Here is a 17793-nt window from a genome sequence, read left to right as displayed (position 1 = left end):
GCTGAGTCAGCGGAGATGCTCACCGCGCCTCCATCCTTGCTGGCCTCCGCCTTTGGGCGGCCTCCGCCTTTGGGCTGCCTCCGCCTCACCGGCTTCCTCCGCAGGTGCCTCCTCCCCCAGCCCCCACTCTTCGCCTCTCGATGGATCCTTCTGGCCAACTCCCGGATTCGTTGTGGTCCCCGCCTAAATGCTCTCGAAGACCAAATCTCGTTGTGGTTTCCCGGCTGCGTAAGAAGCGGCTGGGGAACGGCGCCCGGTGAGCTGCAGGCCCAGGAAGAGAACAGGTGTGGGAAGGGGACGGCAGGGGCTAAGGGCGGGGAACGGCCGCTTTGGGCTGGCGATCGTGGTGCGCCTTCTGGCCTCTCCTGTAGGTCCCCCCAGCCCTGTTCATGCGCACCGGTAATTGGTGTCCTGTGTTTCCTAGAATTTCGATTTTCCAAAATCCGTGTAAAACGGACCATGGCTCAACCCGGGCCAAATCAGGCCGGCGGGTTCTTGGGGCTGGCACTTACCCCCGGACCCCAAGTGCAGGGAGTCCTCAATGCAGGACTCTGCCCCTCCATTCTGTGCCTAGGAAGTCTGTTCTCACACTCTTCCTCCTCAACGGCGGGAGGGCGAAATCTCGCCACGGGGGACACGTGGGACCTCACTGAGGCCTTGGTTGGATCCTGGCCGCCTTGTTTCCCATAAACATTTTACCCCACCCAAACTCAAAAAATGGCCTGGAGCTGTCAGAGAAGGGAGGTGGGGAAAGACCTAAGCCGCTTGGTGACCTTGTGACCTCTGGCCATGAATCCAGGAGCCGGGAGTGCGTGAACTCTGCGTCCTTCCCGGGGATGGGACCCCCGCGGGCGGGCCCCTGAGCCTTAGACCCGCCCCCGCCGCCGCCCTGCCCGGTGCAGGCCGCGGTAATCGGGTTAGCTGGGCCGGAATTACATTACCTTCCCCGGCCCGCCCCGGCCCCCGGGGGGGCCCTGGCGCCTCTGAGCCGGTGAGACTGGGCTCAGAGAGGGGGGCGCTTCTACCATCCTGCGGTGGCGGTGGCGGGTGGGCACCAACGAGCAGCTCAGCCTACCTCTGACACGTGGTGGCCAAAGGACCTTACCCTGCTGTGCCAGCCCTCTACCCTCGTCCCGAGCCCACCCCGCTGTTCAGCTCCATCCTGCTGGTTCCCGTGTGAACCGAAATGCTTTGTAAGTCTACTAGCTGGATCTCCCTGGGAGCACTGATCTTCAAACTGATTCTCCAGGATCCCCTGGGAAAGACTCTGCCCCCTCCTTTCTCCCCAGCAGATGGGCTGGCAGCCTGGCGCCTGGGGCAGGGTGAAGGGGTCTTTTCTCCCCTGGGAACCAGGAATGATATTTGGGCATCTGGGCAGAAAGATAAAGAAGAGAAAGAAGGGTGAGCTCTGTCCACCAGCCCTTCAGTGTTCTCTGAAGCCTTATATCTAGAGGAGGTGAACCATAAATGGGACAGAGGGCAGTGGGAGGAATAGTGGGCATTAATATGTGTCAACCTGCCAGGCGCGGTGGCTCACGCCTGTAATACCAGCACTTTGGGAGGCCGAGGCGGGTGGATCACGAGGTCAGGAGATTGAGACCATCCTGGCTAACACGGTGAAACCCATCTCTACTAAAAATACAAAAATTAGCTGGGCGTGGTGGCGGGTGCCTGTAGTCCCAGCTACTTGGGAGGCTGAGGCAGGAGAATGGCATGAACCCGGGAGGTGGAGCTTGCAGTGAGCCGAGATCGCGCCACTGCACTCCAGCCTGGGCAACACAGCAAGACTCTGTCTGAAAAAAAAAAAAAAGTGTCAACCTCCCCCACCTTGACCACTCTACTATCCAATTTGTCCAGCCCCTCCTCAGCCCTGCTAACAGCCCGTTCTGAAAGAGGGTGGGGGCTCCTACCAATTTAGCAGATGTATTTTCATCTTGATGGAGAAGACAGACATTATCACCTCCCGTCTCTTTACAGAAACCCATGCACTTTTCTCAGCAGTAGAGAGGGCTACAAGGAAGCATGAACCTGTTTAGTCCAAATCTTCAGGCCGGGAGCAGTGGCTCATGCCTGTAATCCCACCACTTTGGAATGCCAAGAGGGGACGGATCACCTGATGTCAGGAGTTCAAGACCAGCCTGGCCAACATGGTGAAACCCCGTCTCTATTAAAAATACAAAAAAATTAGCTGGGCATGTTGGCAGGTGCCTGTAATCTCAGCTACTGGGGAGGCTGAGGCAGGAGAATCACTTGAACCAGGGAGGCAGAGGTTTCAGTGAGCGGAGATCACCACTGCATTCCAGTCTGGGGAAACAGAGCAAGACTCCATCTCAAAAAAAACAAACAAACAAACAACAACAAAAAAAACTTCCTTGGTACCAAGGGCTGGATTCCTCCAGATGGGAGCAGGAAACCTAGGGAGACAGCAAAGAAATATAATCTCTGAAGAGGGCTGGTGTGCAGGTTAGGAGTTTGCTAGTCCCATTCTCTGCTCTGAAGGTTGAGTCTGGGGGCAGGGGGGCAGGGTAACCAGTGTGTCTCCAGCCAACCTAAATAAATCCTCCTTGAATGAATCAGTGAGTGAATCAACAAATGAAAAAAAGGCAACATCATGCAGACCCGTACACCCCTGCCGTTTGAGTTCAGCACAGATGGTACTGCCACCCAGGGACTGTCCAACTAATCCTTTAAGGAGAATGGTCACAAACTCAGTAGTTCATACAAGTGTTCTGGAGAGTTTTTAAAATATTTTAGTGCCCCACTTCAAGAACAGATGGCATCCAGTTACGTCACCCAGACCACAGTCCTAGGACTTTCTCTTTTTTTAAGAGACAGAGTCTCGCTATGATGCCCAGGCTGGCTGGCTGGCCTCAAACTCCTGGGCTCAGACAATCCTCCCACTTTGACCCCCTGAGTATCTAGAGTTACAGGTGTGCACCACCACCCCAACCTGGCTTGAAATGTCCTTTCTTGCCTCCTTGTCTCTGATTCACGGGGAAAGGATGGTTCCTGCTGGTTTATATTCAAGATTGGCTAGGCGCGGTGGCTCATGCCTGTAATCCTAGCACTTTGGGAGGCCTAGGTGGGTGGATCACGAGGTCAGCAGATTGAGACCATCCTGGCTGACACGGTGAAACCCCGTGTCTACTAAAACTACAAAAAATTAGCCGGGCTTGGTGGCGGGCACCCGTAGTCCCAGCTACTCGGGATGCTGAGGCAGGAGAATGGCGTGAACCCGGGAGGCGGAGCTGGCAGTGAGCCGAGATCGCGCCACTGCACTCTAGCCTGGGTGACAAAGCGAGACTCCATCTCAAAAAAAAAAAAAAAAAAAAAAGACGAAGATAGAGGTGCTGGAATGAGTGCCCCCTCATACACACTGCTTTGGATCTGTCTCACCATGTCCTGTGTGTCCGTGGCTCTCATCAACTTAGTCTTTCCTACCCCTCAGCTGTCTCAGATCTTTATCATCTGGACAAAATCTTTGCCTGAGTCTTCAAGAGAGATCATGCTTTTCCTTTCCTTTTTACTTCATGCCTACTGCCTCCATTTCATCATGATTTATTCTTGTTTTAACTCAGTGCAAGCTGCCTTCATTATAGTAACCCTTTCTCAGAGAGCTCCAGTGTTCAGTATCCCTCCTCCAGGACTTCCCTGGCATGTTTTACTTTGTTGGTCATCAATTATTTTTTGAAGTGTCCCTTCTTTTTGCTTCTGTAATATCTTATTCCACATCTTTGGACTTTCGTAGTCACTGCTTATGTTTTTCCTCCACTGATTTTCCTTCTTCCACTGAAGACTGTGAGGATTCTTCAGAGCTCAGACTTAAGCTTTCTTTTTTCTTTTCTTTTTTTTTTTTTTTTAAGACATGGGATCTCACTCTGTCGCTCAGGCTGGAGTGCAGTAGCATTATCACGGTTCACTGCTGCCTCAACCTCCCAGGCTCGAGCAATCTTCCTAACTCAGCCTCCCAAGTAGCTGGGACTACAGGTATGCGCCACCATGCCAGGCTAATTTTTGTACTTTTTGTAGTGACGGAGTCCCACCATGTTGCCCAGGCTGGTCTCCAACTCCTGGGCTCAAGTATCCACCTGCCTCAGCCTCCCAAAGTGCTGGAATTACAGGCATTAGCCACTGCACCAGGCCTTAAGCTTTCTTTATCTCTTCATCTGCTCAAGTTTCACCCATTCCAAAAGTCCCAACTCTCATATCCAGCCAGATAACTCTGAGACCTCCATCCCTTGTTCTGACACTCCAGCCCCACCGCTCACTCTCCTAGCCTTCTGACAAGCTCCCCCTGCTTCCCTGCAGCCACCTTAAGTCCAGCAGGCTGGAGGACATGCTTCCCTCCAAAGCTCTTCATTCACCCTCTTACCCAGGCCTACCAAGCCAGGTTCCTGGCTACTTCCTCCTATTATACTTTCCTTTGAACTGTTTCAGATACAGCCCTTCCTTTCCATTGCCATTGCTAAAACCCTAATCGAGGCTGTCATCACCACCACTTGGATTCATTCATGTATTCATCCAGAAAAGTTTTATTGAACACCAACTATGCACCTGGCACTGGAGCTATATCTGTGAACACAACAGAGGAAAAAAAATCCTTGCCACTGAGAAGCTTATAGTCTAGTGGAAAAGGCAGATGAAAAACTAGGAAATATGTTTTCTAGAAAATATTTTCTGAAAATAACTAGAAAATATAATATATATTAGAAATGTATATTAAATAATAATAAATGATAGAATGCTAATAAGTGCTAACCAGAAAAAAAAGAGCAAGGAAGTGAAAGGGTGGGTGAGTTGTTATTCATCTAGAGTGATTACAGCAGCCTCATGAGTAAAGACCTGAAAGAAGGAGGGAGCCATTTTGGATACCTAAGCATTTCAAGTTGGGGACACAGTGGAAGGATATCCTGGTGTATCTGAAGAGACTATGCAGGCCCTTGCACACCACTCTGAGACTTTGACTTTCATTCTGATTGAAAAGGGAAGCTCTCAACAGGTTTTAAACGTAAAAAAGGAACAACCTAATTTTTCAACTTTATTTTTAATAGCTTTCTTGAAGTATAATGGACATATAAACTGCAAATATTTGAAGTGTACAATTTGATAAGTTTTGACATATGTATATACCCATGATACCATCATCACCATAAAAATAATAAACATATCCACATCTCAAAAATTGTCCTTTGTCCTTTGTGTTTCATGTTTTATCAGAATCACTAGCTCTGAGAAACAGCACTCAACTGTGATGTTGAGAACAGGCGAAGGGGGACTCAAGGAAAACAGTCAAGAGGCCACTACAGAGGACAGATGATAGTGGCTCGGACCAGGGAAGTAGGTAAACAGGGGCTGTAACGAATAATTGATTAATCACTAATCTCATAACTTCTTGCTGCATATTCACTTCAATTCACTCTGAAGAGAAATGAACAAAAATGTCGCTTTCACAGGATAACCTCCCTTCAAAAAAGTCCGCTAGCTCCCAATTGCCCTCAGGCTAAAAATCGCAACTCTTTATGGCCCTGCTTTTTCTATTACCACTCTCAAATCTACATCTTGACCTTCCTGTCCTCTGGTCATTCCCCTCCACGTCCTTTCTATTTCACCACACTTCCACCCCCTCCCCCAAGTCTAAATTGTGCCCAAAGTCCCACTTTCTCCAGAAAGCCTTTTTTGAGGTCTCCATTGGAATCTCTCCCTTCTCGTATCTCCAGTTGCATTTGATGTTAATACCTCATAGCAAATTTATCCCTTTTTAAGTACCCAGAGCCGGCGGTGTAGAGCTCTCGAGCGAGCACCCCGCGTAGTCCCCAAGTGCGGGACTGGGCCTATGCTACTACAGGCGCTCGCTGCCTAAGCCTGTCTGTGTGTGGCAGTGTCCTAGTCGTCCTCCCCTCCTCCTTCGGCATCTGCTCTGCATTAGTCTGTCCCAGGCCTCCGCAGGCGCCGATGATTAAATCATCATCATTAACCAGGGCCTGCCCCCCCCATCCCCGGCAGCAGGGGGGAGAATGGGGGAATAAGATCACTACCAAGTCCCTGGGGGTCTCTCACTCCCCATCCCCCGGCACCCTCTCCGAGACTCTGCAAAGCCCAAGAAACTCCCTCCGTGAAGCCGGGAGAAGACCCGCCATCTGGACGAAGCTCCGCTACGCGGACGCCGACAGGGCGGCATTACGAGGAGAGGACCCAGGAGGGGCTTCTTCAGCAGGGTCGTCGTCACAGAAGACCGACGACCCTGAGCGGGTAGCGGGCACAGACTGCCAGGCCTTTGGGGGTAGGAGGGGGCAGTCTTTCGCAGGCTCCGAAAGTTAGTCTTGAGGTCGCGTAGGGCCTATTATGATGATTTCTACAGGAGGTTGAAGAGATAAGACCCTTCCCTGTGCTCCCCCCCCCCCACTCCTTAATTACGGATTGAGCAGGGGAGGGGCCGGTGGGGCTCAGGTGAGCACACAGGGAGAAAGGGACGTGGGCGGGGCCTTACAGAGGGTGAGCGAATCCGAAAAGACCTAGAACCTCGTTGCTGGGAGACAAGTCCCGCCCTGCAGGCGGCACCGGAAGTGGCCGGCTGGGATCAGCCTTTAAGATGGCGTCTCCTCAGGGGGGCCAGATTGCGATCGCGATGAGGCTTCGGAACCAGCTCCAGTCAGTGTACAAGATGGACCCGCTACGGAACGAGGTGCAAGGGCGGCAGGGTTACTGCTGTGGTCGGCCAGCGGTGCGAATTGGGGCGGGCTAAAGGACGGGCGGTGGCTGGCCGGGCGCCCAGTGCGCCTGCGCAGAGACAGAGTGCCCAGTGCGCCTGCGTGGTTGCGATCGGGTTGCCAAACTCCGGTTAGGACGCCTGCGCGTTGTGTCGCCGACGTTGTGTAGTCTCCCCTGGGAAAGGAGGGTCAGGCGAGTCCACGTGAGGGAAGCCCCCGCTGTGCGCGGAGCCCTCTGCTGGGCGGAGGGGGAGTGCCAGCCCCCAGGAGCTAATCCCCGGCTGATGGCGCAGGGCGCGGGGCTTGGCCGTCTAGTGTGATGAAGGAGGCGACCCCCAAGGTGGGAAGGCGCACGGGTTGGGGTTTGAGGGTGGATGATTGGTGACGGAGGGTGTATCTTCAGGAGGAGGTTCGAGTGAAGATCAAAGACTTGAATGAACACATTGTTTGCTGCCTATGCGCCGGCTACTTCGTGGATGCCACCACCATCACAGAGTGTCTTCATACTTGTGAGTGCCTTGGAGACTGCCTAGTTCTTCCAGTCCCTAGTCTTCACCAAGCTGACTGCCAGCTTCTGTGCGGCCTGCCTCACGCATCCAGGCACCCCACCCAGCCCATGAATCCAGTTTCCAGAGGGCCTGAGAATCTGCTTTTCTTTTCCTGCAGTCTGCAAGAGTTGTATTGTGAAGTACCTCCAAACTAGCAAGTACTGCCCCATGTGCAACATTAAGATCCACGAGACACAGCCACTGCTCAACCTCAAACTGGACCGGGTCATGCAGGACATCGTGTATAAGCTGGTGCCTGGCTTGCAAGACAGTGAGTCACCAACCTGACTTTGAGGGGCCTCTTGAGGACTAATTGCTGAGTGGCAGCTTGAGGTGACGGGTTTGGTAGGACTCACGTAGGCAGAAGGCCAAAGATGAGGGAAGGACAAAAAGTGAGGAAGGGCTAATACTTTATTCTTTTTTTTCTTTTTTTGAGACGGAGTCTTGCCCAGGCTGGAGTGCAGTGGCGCAATCTCAGCTCACTGCAAGCTCCACCTCCTGGATTCATGCCATTCTCCTGCCTCAGCCTCCTGAGTAGCTGGGACTACAGGCGCCCACCACCATGCCCAGCTAATTTTTTATATTTTTTAGTAGAGACGGGGTTTCACCATGTTAGCCAGGATGGCCTCAATCTCCTGACTTCATGATCTGCCCACCTCTGCCTCCCAAAGTGCTGGGATTACAGGCGTGAGCCACCGCGCCCGGCCCCGAAGGGCTAATACTTTATTCTCATACTTCACCTTCTTCTAGGTGAAGAGAAACGGATTCGGGAATTCTACCAGTCCCGAGGTTTGGACCGGGTCACCCAGCCCACTGGGGAAGGTATGTCCTTGGCCGCGGGACAGTAAAGACCCCAGAGCATTCTTCTTGCCCAGTTTTGCTCTCTGGGGAAAGAGGAGTATGGAATGTGTGCCACCAGCCACCTCACTACCCTATCTTTCTCAGAGCCAGCACTGAGCAACCTCGGCCTCCCCTTCAGCAGCTTTGACCACTCTAAAGCCCACTACTATCGCTATGATGAGCAGTTGAACCTGTGCCTGGAGCGGCTGAGGTGAGGAGAAGGTCAGGGGTTGCAGGAGGTGACAGTGCCAATGACCCAGAGCCAGGGAGGGTCTAGGGGAGAGGCTGAGCAGTGAGTGAGTGCCTATCCCCTTGAAGAGAGTATATCATGGCTCTGGGTGGGGAAGAGGAGGAAAGATAGGATTCCCTAACCTGTGTCTATTTCCCCCCAGTTCTGGCAAAGACAAGAATAAAAGCGTCCTGCAGGTGAGAAGGGCTGAGGGGAGGGCCTCTCTAAGGAGACTCACCTCCCATGGTCCTTCCCTCACACACCTTGCCCTCTTCCCTCCCCTCCCTGCTCCCAGAACAAGTATGTCCGATGTTCTGTTAGAGCTGAGGTACGCCATCTCCGGAGGGTCCTGTGTCACCGCTTGATGCTAAACCCTCAGCATGTGAGTAGTCCCACAGTAGGTTTCTTGAGGGGGAGAAGGGGCTAAGAAAGGAGGGACAGAGTCTAGGGTGGACCAGGGTAGTTTTTGACCTGCCAGAAAGTTCCTAAAATTATGCCCCCATCTCCCTCCTAGGTGCAGCTCCTTTTTGACAATGAAGTTCTCCCTGATCACATGACAATGAAGCAGATATGGCTCTCCCGCTGGTTCGGCAAGGTAAGCCAGGCCACCCTCCCTGGGATCACACCCCCTTCAGACTCCCCCCAACCATCCTACAGTCCTCAGGGGAAGGGTGGGCTGAGGGGCCCTTTGAATAATATAAGAACATTCCCCACTGACTACTACTTCCTCATTCTCTCCTTAGCCATCCCCTTTGCTTTTACAATACAGTGTGAAAGAGAAGAGGAGGTAGGGGCCAAGCCCCCACCCCATCCCACTCCCCTTCCCTCCCCAGATATTTATGTGAAATGAACTGCAGCTTTATTTTTTGAAATAAAAACTTTTAAAAAGCACCTCTCTTCTGCCTTATTCTTCCTGCCTCACACTCATGCTGTGTCCTGCCTTCTTCAAAAATCCTCTGAGTTTCATTGTGAAGAAGGGCCTGTCCTCTATGGCCATGGGCCCTCAATGTCTTGCCAAAGGAGAAGGGTAGAGGATCCCTATATGTGTGAAACCAGGCCTCCCACACCACTCTTTTTGGTGATGGGAAGGTTTCCTGGAGGGGAGCTCTCAGCTGTCTTTGTATGCTGCAGCATACAGTGCGGGTGCGGGCCTCTTAGGAGGTTTCCTAATTCAGCGGTGGTGAGAAGGCTAGAGTTGGACAGTGGCTGCTGCAGGATTGAACAAGTGTGATTTTTTAAAGAAAAATCCAAAGAATTGCATTATAGTTTTATAACTTGGGGGATGGGGACAAAAAGGAGGGAGAAGTCTAAAAAACAAATGGAGTGGGGCCACAGGAATTGTCAGAAATGGAGGCTTAGGCTGTCCATACAGGATTCAGCAAGTACTTGGGGACTGCGACTAGAAGAAGCCAGGGTGGGGAATAAGTAGCTGAGGAGGAGAGGGAGCTGATGTGGAGGAGAGCAAGGGCAACTTCAAGGAACAAAAGGGAAGCTGCAAGGCACCAGCTCCATTAATTCAGCAAACATTCCTTGTCTGTATGCCATGCCAGGGTCCTTGTTCTATGGTTCTCTCAGTGGGGTAGCTAGAAACTTGCCCAACAGACAGGAACAGACAGAAGCCAAAGCAAAGAATTCCTGAAGGTAGCCGGCCTGCTGCCAAACCTGGGACAAACTGTATGGAGGCGCAGCGTGTGTAGCCAGAACCCGAGTTAAAACCTAGGTCCCACCCTGGCCGGTCTGACTCCACGGCTTCTAGGGGTTGGTTGTGCGAAGCTGTTGAGGGCTGAAGGCGCTAACCATCAAAGATGGAGGTCGGGTGGCAGAAGATGGGGTGGGAGGCAGAGAGTGAGTACAGCGAAGGCGGCCTCAACTGGATAAGAAAACTCCAGACTTGCGGGAAAGGCCTGAGCTCGCATTGGACGCTCTGGGGTGCCACAGTCGGACACTGTTTCCGGGAGACCTCCGCCTCTCCGCGCGGATGAAGAGGCTGCAGACGCCGAAGAAGAGCTCGAGTGCGTGGGGCACTGATGGGGATCGGGGTGGGCACACAGCAGACGGCCTGGGTACGCTTCTTTCCTGACATGGTCTCCAAGGTTAGCAAAGCTTCCAAACGTTTCCAGGCCTCCAGCCTGGAATGCCTCTCCCCCCGCTCCCCGACCTCTTCCAGGAACACCCCAGCTCAGGGCTCCCCACTCCCCTTCCTGCGAATTGAAGCTCTGTGGGCTTTGCGGTCCGGGCGGGCGAGTACCTGGCGGCCGGGGCTGTTCTCCAGGAGTTTCTGCGCGAAAAGTTTCCTAGGAGTGACGGGATGGCGTGGGCTCAGGGGAGAGTAGAAACGCTCCCGGGGGCTTTGCAGGGACCGAGCAGCTGCGGGAGCTGGGGAGCAGTCTGACTGGGACTCCCTGGAAGGCCCTGCCATTGGGGCTGGGCGGCAGCTCGGCGTCGAAAAAGCCGGGTCTGAAGATTAATGTGCCGAGGCCGGAGACCCTGAGGACCAAGTCACGGGACTTGCCCTTGGTGACTCACGCCTTGAGGCCGAGCAGCGCGGAAGGCGCTCAGGCCGGATCTGGGGTGGGGCCCAGCCGAGCCTTGGTCTTGTCTGTCAGCAGCGGCAGCTGCACTGCGTCTCCCAAGGTGGCTGAAGCTGGCCAGCTGCGGGCTCCGCGCCGCTCGTCCCGGGTCTATGGGTCCATTCCCCACGCCCACCCGGACCCCGGGGTCACTCGGGTCTCCGTCTGTGCCAGGGAGGGAGAATCACGCCCAGGGTCCTCTCTGGCTTCGCGCGACTGAGAACGCGCCCGGACGCGGCGCGGCGCTCCTGAGTCAAAGGAGAGGTGGCGGCAGGACCACCCCAGGGCGCCGTCTGCACCCCCGGACGCACTCGGCCGTGCTGCGCTTCCGGGACAAGGCGTCGGTTCTCGCCTGAGGGCCAAACCTTGCCCCTGCCCACCTTCCTCACCCCCGCCATTTCCAGGACTCACATCCAAAGGCGACAGCACCAGGATTTGCTCCCGCCTTTGGCACAGAGGAGGACGGGTCCCTCTCTCAGCCTGGCCAGTCTTTCCCAGGGCTTGATGGGAAAAAGGACTTCCCTAGAAGTGAGTCTTGGGGAGTTGGGGGGAGAAAAGTGTCGAGGAGGGCGTCGGAGTTTCCCACCGCTGGCTGCTTCCCGGCCCGCACGCCCGGGAGGGTGGCGGTGGGCGCGCAGAGATCTTTGCAAAACAGCGTCCAGGGCGGAAAACAACTCACAGGCCTGCCGCCCCCAAAGTCACGAAACTAAGATATAAGGACCGGTTCACTCCGCAGTAGCGCTTTCTGAAAGAGAAAACAATCCCAGAAGTGTGCGGGACGGACGGAAGCCCCGCCTCACGCTCCTCCGCCTGGACTTTGCTCCCTGAACTCCCACTGCCCTCTCACTCCGGTTCACGGACGTTTCCTAAGGGTGGGGAGGAGGGGAGCAAGCTCTTCGCTGAGATTGTCCTTGTCCACCTCCCCAAGGGGGTTATTCCGAGGGTCCTCCAACCCTGCTACACATTCACAGAATTCAGTGGAATGTCCGGGCCGGCAATCCGAGACTAAAGGTCGTTTATTGAGCAGGCCTCCGTGCCACCAGTGGGGAACGGGGTCGAGCGGGGGCGGCCCGGGGTGGAGGAACCCGCCGATGGGGTGTGTGGGTGCAAGATAAGGTGGGGGTAGGGCTGAGGGGTGAGAATGGGAAATCTGAAAGGGGAGGTGTGAGGAAGCATCCTTAAGCGGGAATGGGGTGCCTTCCCAAGACAGCGAATTTGGAATGTGGGGATCTCTACAAGGGGAGGGAGCGCAGGGCCCCGAAATGTCTGAATGGACAATCAAAGGAATCTGAGAAGGTGGGAAACACAAGAGACTGCCTGAAAAGGAAAACCGTTGGCCCCGCGGGGCCAGCGGTGAAGGCTGGCCTCCGTGCATCTCTTGAGAAGGATCGTGAACAGGGAGGGTTCTACCCGCGGGTGGGAAGAGGCGAGCACCCAGGAGCTTCTGTGCTTCCAAGCTGGGGTGGGGGGTAACCTATAGGACAGCCGAGTGAGTGTCCCCTCCCCAACCCAGAACAAGTTTTAATCTCTTAATCTTCCTCATTAATCACTCACCCTCCTACCCCTCTCTGTGGATCCGATTTCGCCCCAGCTCGAGTTCCAGTACTGAGAAAAGTCCCCTTCTGTGGCCCCACGATCCCCTGGACTAGTCCCTGGCCGCTTTGACGACCTTAGAGGGGCCTCTGCTGTCCTGGGCCTCCTCCCTTTGCTACTCTCCACTTCCATCTCCTCCCCCAAACTCATGTTTAGGAGCTGTCCAATCCCAGTACCTGAGCCCAGCTGCAGAGGGGAGAACTAGGCGGGAGAGATGGAAGGGGCTGTGAGGCACAGGCCCATCAGCAGAGCTCCACACTCCTCACAGACACACGTAAGTAATTGAGAGCAGAGGTAGAGACAGACACAAAAGCCACATAGAGGATGCATGAGTGAAGGTTGCAGCATCTGCTTGGTGATATGCCTGGGATGCAGTGGGGCAGTTCCTGCTGCCTCCAGAGAGCTGCTTTATTGCACATTAAGTGAAACCACTAGGATGGTTTCCAGGGCTGAGGCCTGTAGCCCGAAGATCTCTCCAGGCCCTCCCCTGCCCCTCACCATTAATAACCATTTAACAACGTCCTGAGGCAGCTCAGCTTTCCACCATGGCCTGGCTCTGCTCTTTGATCCAGCAGTGGCCCATCAGCCTTTAAGTGTGTTGCTCAGCTTTCCAGGAGGGCATTATGTGAATGTTGCGGGTGGGGGAGGGGGGTTGTTGGAGTGAGCCCTTTACCAAGAAGACCCTATCAAGGTGCCTTCCCATCTTTGTCAAGGAGTCTTTGGCCCAGGTGCCTTGGATCTCCTAAGCCCTGTTTAGGGAACCCCAATTGCATGCAGCAGTTGCCCCAGGGAATAGACAGGTGGACACTGCACAGATGGTGGGAGATGCAGGGGTCTACAAGGAAAGTGACATAATGGACAGTCCAGGAGGGACTGGCCTGGTTTTTCCTGACACTGTTTTAAAAAGCTAGAAGCACATCAGTTTCTGACTTCCCTGGGCAGCAAAGCAGCAAGCTCCTCAGGAGTGGCAGGGCTTCCCTGCTCTAAGGTGTGAATCCTCCAGCTGTTTGGGGTGGAATGTAGGAACAAAACCCATACCCTGCTGGGCCTCAACTGCTGAGGCCCCACTGTCCCTGAGCTGCCTTCTTCCTACAAAGGAGGGCTGTGGGTGCTTACCCAGGTATGAGCCCAGAACCAGAATAAGTGTGGCAGATAAAAAGGGCCCAGATTAAATAGGAATGAGTATACCAGGCCTCACAGTTAGTACCTGGGTTGTCAGGAATGTCCCAAGATCCAGCTGGGTCCGTGAAGTCTGCCCTTCAAGTCTCTCTTCTATGGGGAGTGACCCCTCTCTGGTCAGGGCACCTTGCTCCCCTTGGCAGTTTCTGAGCCTCTGCAGGCTGGGGAAACCATACATACCTGAACTATGGGAGCTTAATAAAAAGAAGATAAAGACAGACAAAATCGACTGATTTTGCCAGTCCTCACTGACAAAGACCCCTCCTGGGCAGTTGCACCAGCTGGGAGTTCCCTGGGTCTTCTCTCCTGCGGCCCGGGTCTCCCGGCAGCTTCTCTGTGTGTTCTGATTTCGTCAGGTGGGGCAGCCTCGGGTCCATTCACCTGTGCTTGCTTCTTCGTGGCATCCCCACTATTCCCAGTTGCAGTCGCTCCGCCAGGCCAGGTCCTCCCAAGTGTTGCGCCCCCGACCCATGCAGCACTAATCACTTCCAGCCGTCAGGACCAGAAACAACGTTTCTCAGGGGTGGGGTGGGGAAGAGGGAGCCAGGTTAGGAGACTGAGGTCCTAGCTGGGATCAGAGATCCCAGCACAGTCAGCCCTGATAGCCTTCCTCAGAACTTTGCAAATCCCCAGCCGCTGGGGCCAGAGAAGGCAATTTTATCGTCTACTAGTTTATGAGCCGGAGCGGCGGCTAGGCGGGGAGTCGGCGGCATACAGCGTCTGGAGGTATGGCCCGGCCTGACTGTGCACGGTGCAGCGCCCCGCAGCGCGGAGCAGCCCCGTGGCCCTGCTCTGGTGGGTAGTTTGGTCGGCTTCTGCTCTCCGCGCCTGCCCCAGCCTGTAGAAATACCCTCCCCGGACATCTAGGAGCTCCAGATCCACCGCGGCCCGGGGTGGAGAGGTGGGGGCGCAGGAGGAGGGGCACACGGGACTCGGGCCCAGAGCCGGGGGCGGGTCCGAGGCTGGGGGCCCGGATTGGGAGCCGAGCACTGGGGCCCAGGCGTTTGCGGAGCCTAGCGCAACGGACAGCCGGACCGCCCCAGCCCGGCCGACCATGAACTCGGGACGCGAGCCCCGAACACCCCGGACACTCTTAAGCATCGCAGACATCCTAGCCCCGCGCATGGTCCCCCGAGCACCCTCTGCGCCGCAGCTTCCAGAGTCGGGTCCGGGTCCAACGTCGCCGCTGTGCGCGCTGGAGGAGCTGACTAGTAAAACTTTCCGCGGACTTGACGCGCGCGCTCTGCAGCCCTCTGAAGGTATAGAGCCGGCAAGGTCGCGGACTCTGACTTAGCCTTTTCCTCACCTCTCTCCTCCTGGTTCCCCGTCTCAAACCTTTGTCCCAGCCCAGGCCACCCACCCTAATCCTCCCCTGTCCTCAGCCCACGTGCCAGGACTCGCACCTGCGACTTCTCACCTCTCCTCCGTTAGTCCCTAGGTTCCGCGGCGGCTCCGGAAGGCCGCCAGTGCCAAGGGAAAAGGGCAGACCGTCGCCAACTGAGCGACCTGTTGCTCTGTTCCTTGTAGGCGGGGCAATCGCGATAGAGAAAGGCAGGAGAGAAAGAGACAAAAGGCTTCAGCCGCAGGCGGTAAACGAGTGAGCCTGCAAAGGCGGCACAGAAAGCGCTGGAGAGTCGAGTCTTTCCGGGTGACCAAGCTCCGCTCCAAGCCACTCTCTTCTCGAGGGGAGTCAAGGAGCAGAAAGCCCTTGGCGCAGCACTGGGCGCGGGATTCCGCACTCTGCCTTTTCTCGCTCTCTGTACCTCATTATCTCCCTTTGGGGCCGGAGGAGCGGGCTCTGGTGTCACTAAGGAACTGTAAACCGAATGCCCGACCCGATCCATGGAAGGGCATGATCTAAGTCCTGTTACCACCACCACGCTGGGTCGGCTGCCCTGACTCTTACTCGCCTCTGATGTCACCCTCAACTTATAGCCTGCTCAGCCTGAGGCTCCTAAAAGCCTCAAAGGCTCCACCCCAGAAGGTTTGACCCTGCACCTCTGAATCATCCCTCCCTTCCTTCACTTCCTTGCCCCTACAATATGCCCTCAGCCTGCTGCCTTTCGCACCCCTGTGGCCAGCCCGCTTTGCGCCCCATATCCCCACCTGGGCCTGACTCCCGATAAGGGATCACAGTTCTGGTCTCCGTCCGCCTTCCTGGCTCTCCCTCTACTTCCCCCACCGCCACCGGCCCGACCCCACCCCCAACTTTTCTTTCCAGGCCCAGCCTGATTCCCGGAGGCTGGAAACTGACCCCCTCCCTATCCCTACAGGGCGGGCAGGTCCGGACGCGCTGGGCCCTGGTCCCTTCGGCCGCAAACGGCGCAAGTCACGCACTGCGTTCACCGCGCAACAGGTGCTGGAGCTGGAGCGGCGCTTCGTCTTCCAGAAGTACCTGGCGCCGTCCGAGCGAGACGGGCTAGCTACGCGACTCGGCCTGGCCAACGCGCAGGTGGTCACTTGGTTCCAGAACCGGCGAGCCAAGCTCAAGCGCGATGTGGAGGAGATGCGCGCCGACGTCGCCTCGCTACGCGCGTTGTCCCCGGAAGTCCTGTGCAGCTTAGCACTGCCCGAAGGCGCTCCAGATCCCGGCCTCTGCCTCGGCCCTGCCGGCCCTGACTCCCGGCCCCACCTGTCAGACGAGGAGATACAGGTGGACGATTGAAGACAAAGCCGCCGCCAATCCTGGGCTCTGGGGCCCTGGACTCCTCACCTCGCGCTCTGCCTCTGGCCAGAGTTCCAGGGTGGAGGAAGGAGGTCCACTTGGGCCTCTTCCGGCCCACAGTCCAGACGCTCACCTTTCCCGGTTTTTTTGTAAGTTTGTTTTGTTGTCTGAGACAGGGCCTCGCTCTGTCGCCCAGGCTGGAGTGCCGTGGAGCGATCACCGCTCACTGCAGTCGCGACCTCCTGGGCTCAAGCGATCCTCCTGCCTCAACCTCCCGACTAGCTGGCATTACAGGCGTGCAGCACCACCCCAGGCTAATTTAAAAAACTTTTTTTTTTAGAGAGGAGGTCCCGCTATGTTGTCCAGGCTACTTTCCCAATATTTGAGAATAAAGTCGAGACTCTGCCGCACCATGCCTCTATCCAGACGCCCGCCAGAAGCAAGAAACAGTAAAATCTGTAAAGTGCTATGGGGAGTCCGCACTTGGCACTGTGCCAGGGCTTTCAATGCAATGTTTCCTTTAGCCCTTATAGCAACCCTTTAAGGTAGGTAATAATTACACCATTTTTACAAAGTCAGAACCCTGAGGTCAGGTTTTGGACCCAGCATCCAGCCAGCCTTCAGAGCTGATGCTTATCAGTCTACCAAGGGGAAGTCACCGGGCCTGAGTGAAAGACAGTGGGGCCTTGGCCCACCTACTGTCTGCCTGGGAGACCTTGATTCTAATCCCTAGGTTGGCCCCAGAGTGATGACATTGTTTCCCCACCTGTTAATGGGTTCCTGACCCTTTCCCCATCCTGCCAAAAGAACCCTCCGCTGGGACACAGGCAAATAGACGGGTGCCCAGAGAGGCCACACCCCTACCTGGAAGACCTCTGCCAGGCCCCTGGGCCAGAAATTTTACCACTAGGATGGTGGCAGCAGCCAGAGGGTGGAAAGGCTTGGCCTGCTGGGGCGAAGCTTGGAGTAGTGGCCTTGCCTGGTAGGGATTCCAGCCTAACTCAGCCAGTGGACATTTCTGACATTCATTTATTCCACTGGTGATAATCACCCTCCTGCAGTGTGAGGGGAGAGGAGGGGGAACGCTCAGTAGTTGCAGGCCTTCCCCTCCCCAGTGGTCCCAGCCAATCTTCAGATCAAGCTCAGTTGTCTTTCCTGCTTCCCTTCTCTCCTGTCAGTCCTCTGGCTCTCTTCAGACTTTCTCCTGCCTCTGCCTAAGTGTGACAACCCTACTTTCAAGGAAGTTCCATGGGTTCAACGGGGGTCAGCTAGGGCCTTAGTTGCAGGTGGAGGGCCCAAGAGAGAATATTCCTTGGAAAGTGAACAAGGCTGGAAGGCAGAAGGGAATCTGGCATTTTCAGACAGTACCACTTATTAAGCAGTTCCAAGTGCTTTGCAGGTATTAATCCTTAAAATAACCCAACAGGACAGAGACTTTTCTTTCCATTTTAAGGATGAGACT

General features: G+C 55.3%; 2 protein-coding genes and 1 long non-coding RNA gene across 5 annotated transcripts, besides 10 other annotated features; 2 read left to right on the top strand and 1 right to left on the bottom strand.

The window, feature by feature from the left end:
• Positions 822 to 1490: an enhancer, noted in NCBI's record as "H3K27ac-H3K4me1 hESC enhancer chr2:74739895-74740563 (GRCh37/hg19 assembly coordinates)". NCBI's record gives its function as "activates a minimal SCP1, AML or CMV promoter by ChIP-STARR-seq in primed H9 embryonic stem cells {active_cell/tissue: H9 hESC(primed)}" and the evidence as "EXISTENCE:reporter gene assay evidence [ECO:0000049][PMID:30033119]".
• Positions 888 to 947: a silencer, noted in NCBI's record as "silent region_11665". NCBI's record gives its function as "represses an Ori minimal core promoter by ATAC-STARR-seq in GM12878 lymphoblastoid cells {active_cell/tissue: GM12878}" and the evidence as "EXISTENCE:reporter gene assay evidence [ECO:0000049][PMID:35858748]".
• Positions 5754 to 5813: an enhancer, noted in NCBI's record as "active region_16069". NCBI's record gives its function as "activates an Ori minimal core promoter by ATAC-STARR-seq in GM12878 lymphoblastoid cells {active_cell/tissue: GM12878}" and the evidence as "EXISTENCE:reporter gene assay evidence [ECO:0000049][PMID:35858748]".
• Positions 6370 to 7300: an enhancer, noted in NCBI's record as "H3K27ac-H3K4me1 hESC enhancer chr2:74734085-74735015 (GRCh37/hg19 assembly coordinates)". NCBI's record gives its function as "activates a minimal SCP1, AML or CMV promoter by ChIP-STARR-seq in naive and primed H9 embryonic stem cells {active_cell/tissue: H9 hESC(naive and primed)}" and the evidence as "EXISTENCE:reporter gene assay evidence [ECO:0000049][PMID:30033119]".
• Positions 6554 to 6733: an enhancer, noted in NCBI's record as "active region_16068". NCBI's record gives its function as "activates an Ori minimal core promoter by ATAC-STARR-seq in GM12878 lymphoblastoid cells {active_cell/tissue: GM12878}" and the evidence as "EXISTENCE:reporter gene assay evidence [ECO:0000049][PMID:35858748]".
• On the top strand, positions 6563 to 9215 carry PCGF1 (polycomb group ring finger 1). The gene is made up of 9 exons (NM_032673.3): positions 6563 to 6682; positions 7111 to 7216; positions 7374 to 7526; positions 8006 to 8077; positions 8201 to 8306; positions 8488 to 8521; positions 8620 to 8706; positions 8839 to 8919; positions 9068 to 9215. Exons 1-9 carry the CDS (start codon positions 6590 to 6592, stop codon positions 9113 to 9115), a joined length of 780 nt encoding a protein of 259 aa, NP_116062.2. The 5' UTR covers positions 6563 to 6589; the 3' UTR covers positions 9116 to 9215.
• LBX2-AS1 (LBX2 antisense RNA 1) lies at positions 9193 to 11665 on the bottom strand. Of its 2 annotated transcripts, NR_152616.1 has the most exons (2): positions 11306 to 11665; positions 9193 to 10618 (listed from the first exon to the last, which is right to left on the bottom strand). It is a non-coding gene; the product is annotated as an LBX2 antisense RNA 1 (long non-coding RNA). The 2 variants fall into 2 exon arrangements; NR_024606.2 differs by having other exon boundaries at positions 9193 to 11665.
• Positions 10507 to 11132: an enhancer, noted in NCBI's record as "H3K27ac-H3K4me1 hESC enhancer chr2:74730253-74730878 (GRCh37/hg19 assembly coordinates)". NCBI's record gives its function as "activates a minimal SCP1, AML or CMV promoter by ChIP-STARR-seq in naive H9 embryonic stem cells {active_cell/tissue: H9 hESC(naive)}" and the evidence as "EXISTENCE:reporter gene assay evidence [ECO:0000049][PMID:30033119]".
• Positions 10742 to 11036: an enhancer, noted in NCBI's record as "tiled region #184; K562 Activating DNase unmatched - State 1:Tss". NCBI's record gives its function as "activates a minimal TATA promoter and a strong SV40 promoter by Sharpr-MPRA in K562 cells {active_cell/tissue: K562}" and the evidence as "EXISTENCE:reporter gene assay evidence [ECO:0000049][PMID:27701403]".
• Positions 10766 to 10835: an enhancer, noted in NCBI's record as "active region_16067". NCBI's record gives its function as "activates an Ori minimal core promoter by ATAC-STARR-seq in GM12878 lymphoblastoid cells {active_cell/tissue: GM12878}" and the evidence as "EXISTENCE:reporter gene assay evidence [ECO:0000049][PMID:35858748]".
• LBX2 (ladybird homeobox 2) lies at positions 10942 to 16741 on the top strand. Of its 2 annotated transcripts, none has more exons than NM_001009812.2 (2): positions 10942 to 11591; positions 15940 to 16741. In NM_001009812.2, the coding sequence occupies exons 1-2, from the start codon at positions 11399 to 11401 to the stop codon at positions 16329 to 16331; spliced, it is 585 nt and encodes a 194-aa protein (NP_001009812.1). In that variant the 5' UTR covers positions 10942 to 11398; the 3' UTR covers positions 16332 to 16741. The 2 variants fall into 2 exon arrangements, with proteins under 2 accessions (NP_001009812.1, NP_001269359.1); NM_001282430.2 differs by lacking the exon at positions 10942 to 11591 and adding an exon at positions 14655 to 14925.
• Positions 11133 to 11757: an enhancer, noted in NCBI's record as "H3K27ac-H3K4me1 hESC enhancer chr2:74729628-74730252 (GRCh37/hg19 assembly coordinates)". NCBI's record gives its function as "activates a minimal SCP1, AML or CMV promoter by ChIP-STARR-seq in naive H9 embryonic stem cells {active_cell/tissue: H9 hESC(naive)}" and the evidence as "EXISTENCE:reporter gene assay evidence [ECO:0000049][PMID:30033119]".
• Positions 16309 to 16358: an enhancer, noted in NCBI's record as "active region_16066". NCBI's record gives its function as "activates an Ori minimal core promoter by ATAC-STARR-seq in GM12878 lymphoblastoid cells {active_cell/tissue: GM12878}" and the evidence as "EXISTENCE:reporter gene assay evidence [ECO:0000049][PMID:35858748]".
• Positions 16742 to 17793: the final 1052 nt, after the last annotated feature.

Source organism: Homo sapiens, chromosome 2 (assembly GCF_000001405.40).
Source record: "Homo sapiens chromosome 2, GRCh38.p14 Primary Assembly".
Lineage (NCBI taxonomy): Eukaryota > Metazoa > Chordata > Mammalia > Primates > Hominidae > Homo > Homo sapiens.
The sequence above is the reverse complement of the archived record's forward strand: the minus strand, read 5'-3'. Positions and strand labels throughout refer to the sequence as shown.

What these genes read in the sequence shown, in the direction of transcription:
- PCGF1 (NM_032673.3), top strand. Translation starts at nt 6,590, where the DNA reads ATGGCGTCTCCTCAGGGGGGCCAGATTGCGATCGCGATGAGGCTTCGG. An exon ending in GGTGCCTGGCTTGCAAGACA is followed by an intron (nt 7,527 to 8,005) that starts GTGAGTCACCAA and finishes ACCTTCTTCTAG; the next exon opens with GTGAAGAGAAACGGATTCGG. An exon ending in CACCCAGCCCACTGGGGAAG is followed by an intron (nt 8,078 to 8,200) that starts GTATGTCCTTGG and finishes TATCTTTCTCAG; the next exon opens with AGCCAGCACTGAGCAACCTC.
- LBX2 (NM_001282430.2), top strand. Translation starts at nt 14,721, where the DNA reads ATGAACTCGGGACGCGAGCCCCGAACACCCCGGACACTCTTAAGCATC. An exon ending in CGCTCTGCAGCCCTCTGAAG is followed by an intron (nt 14,926 to 15,939) that starts GTATAGAGCCGG and finishes CTATCCCTACAG; the next exon opens with GGCGGGCAGGTCCGGACGCG.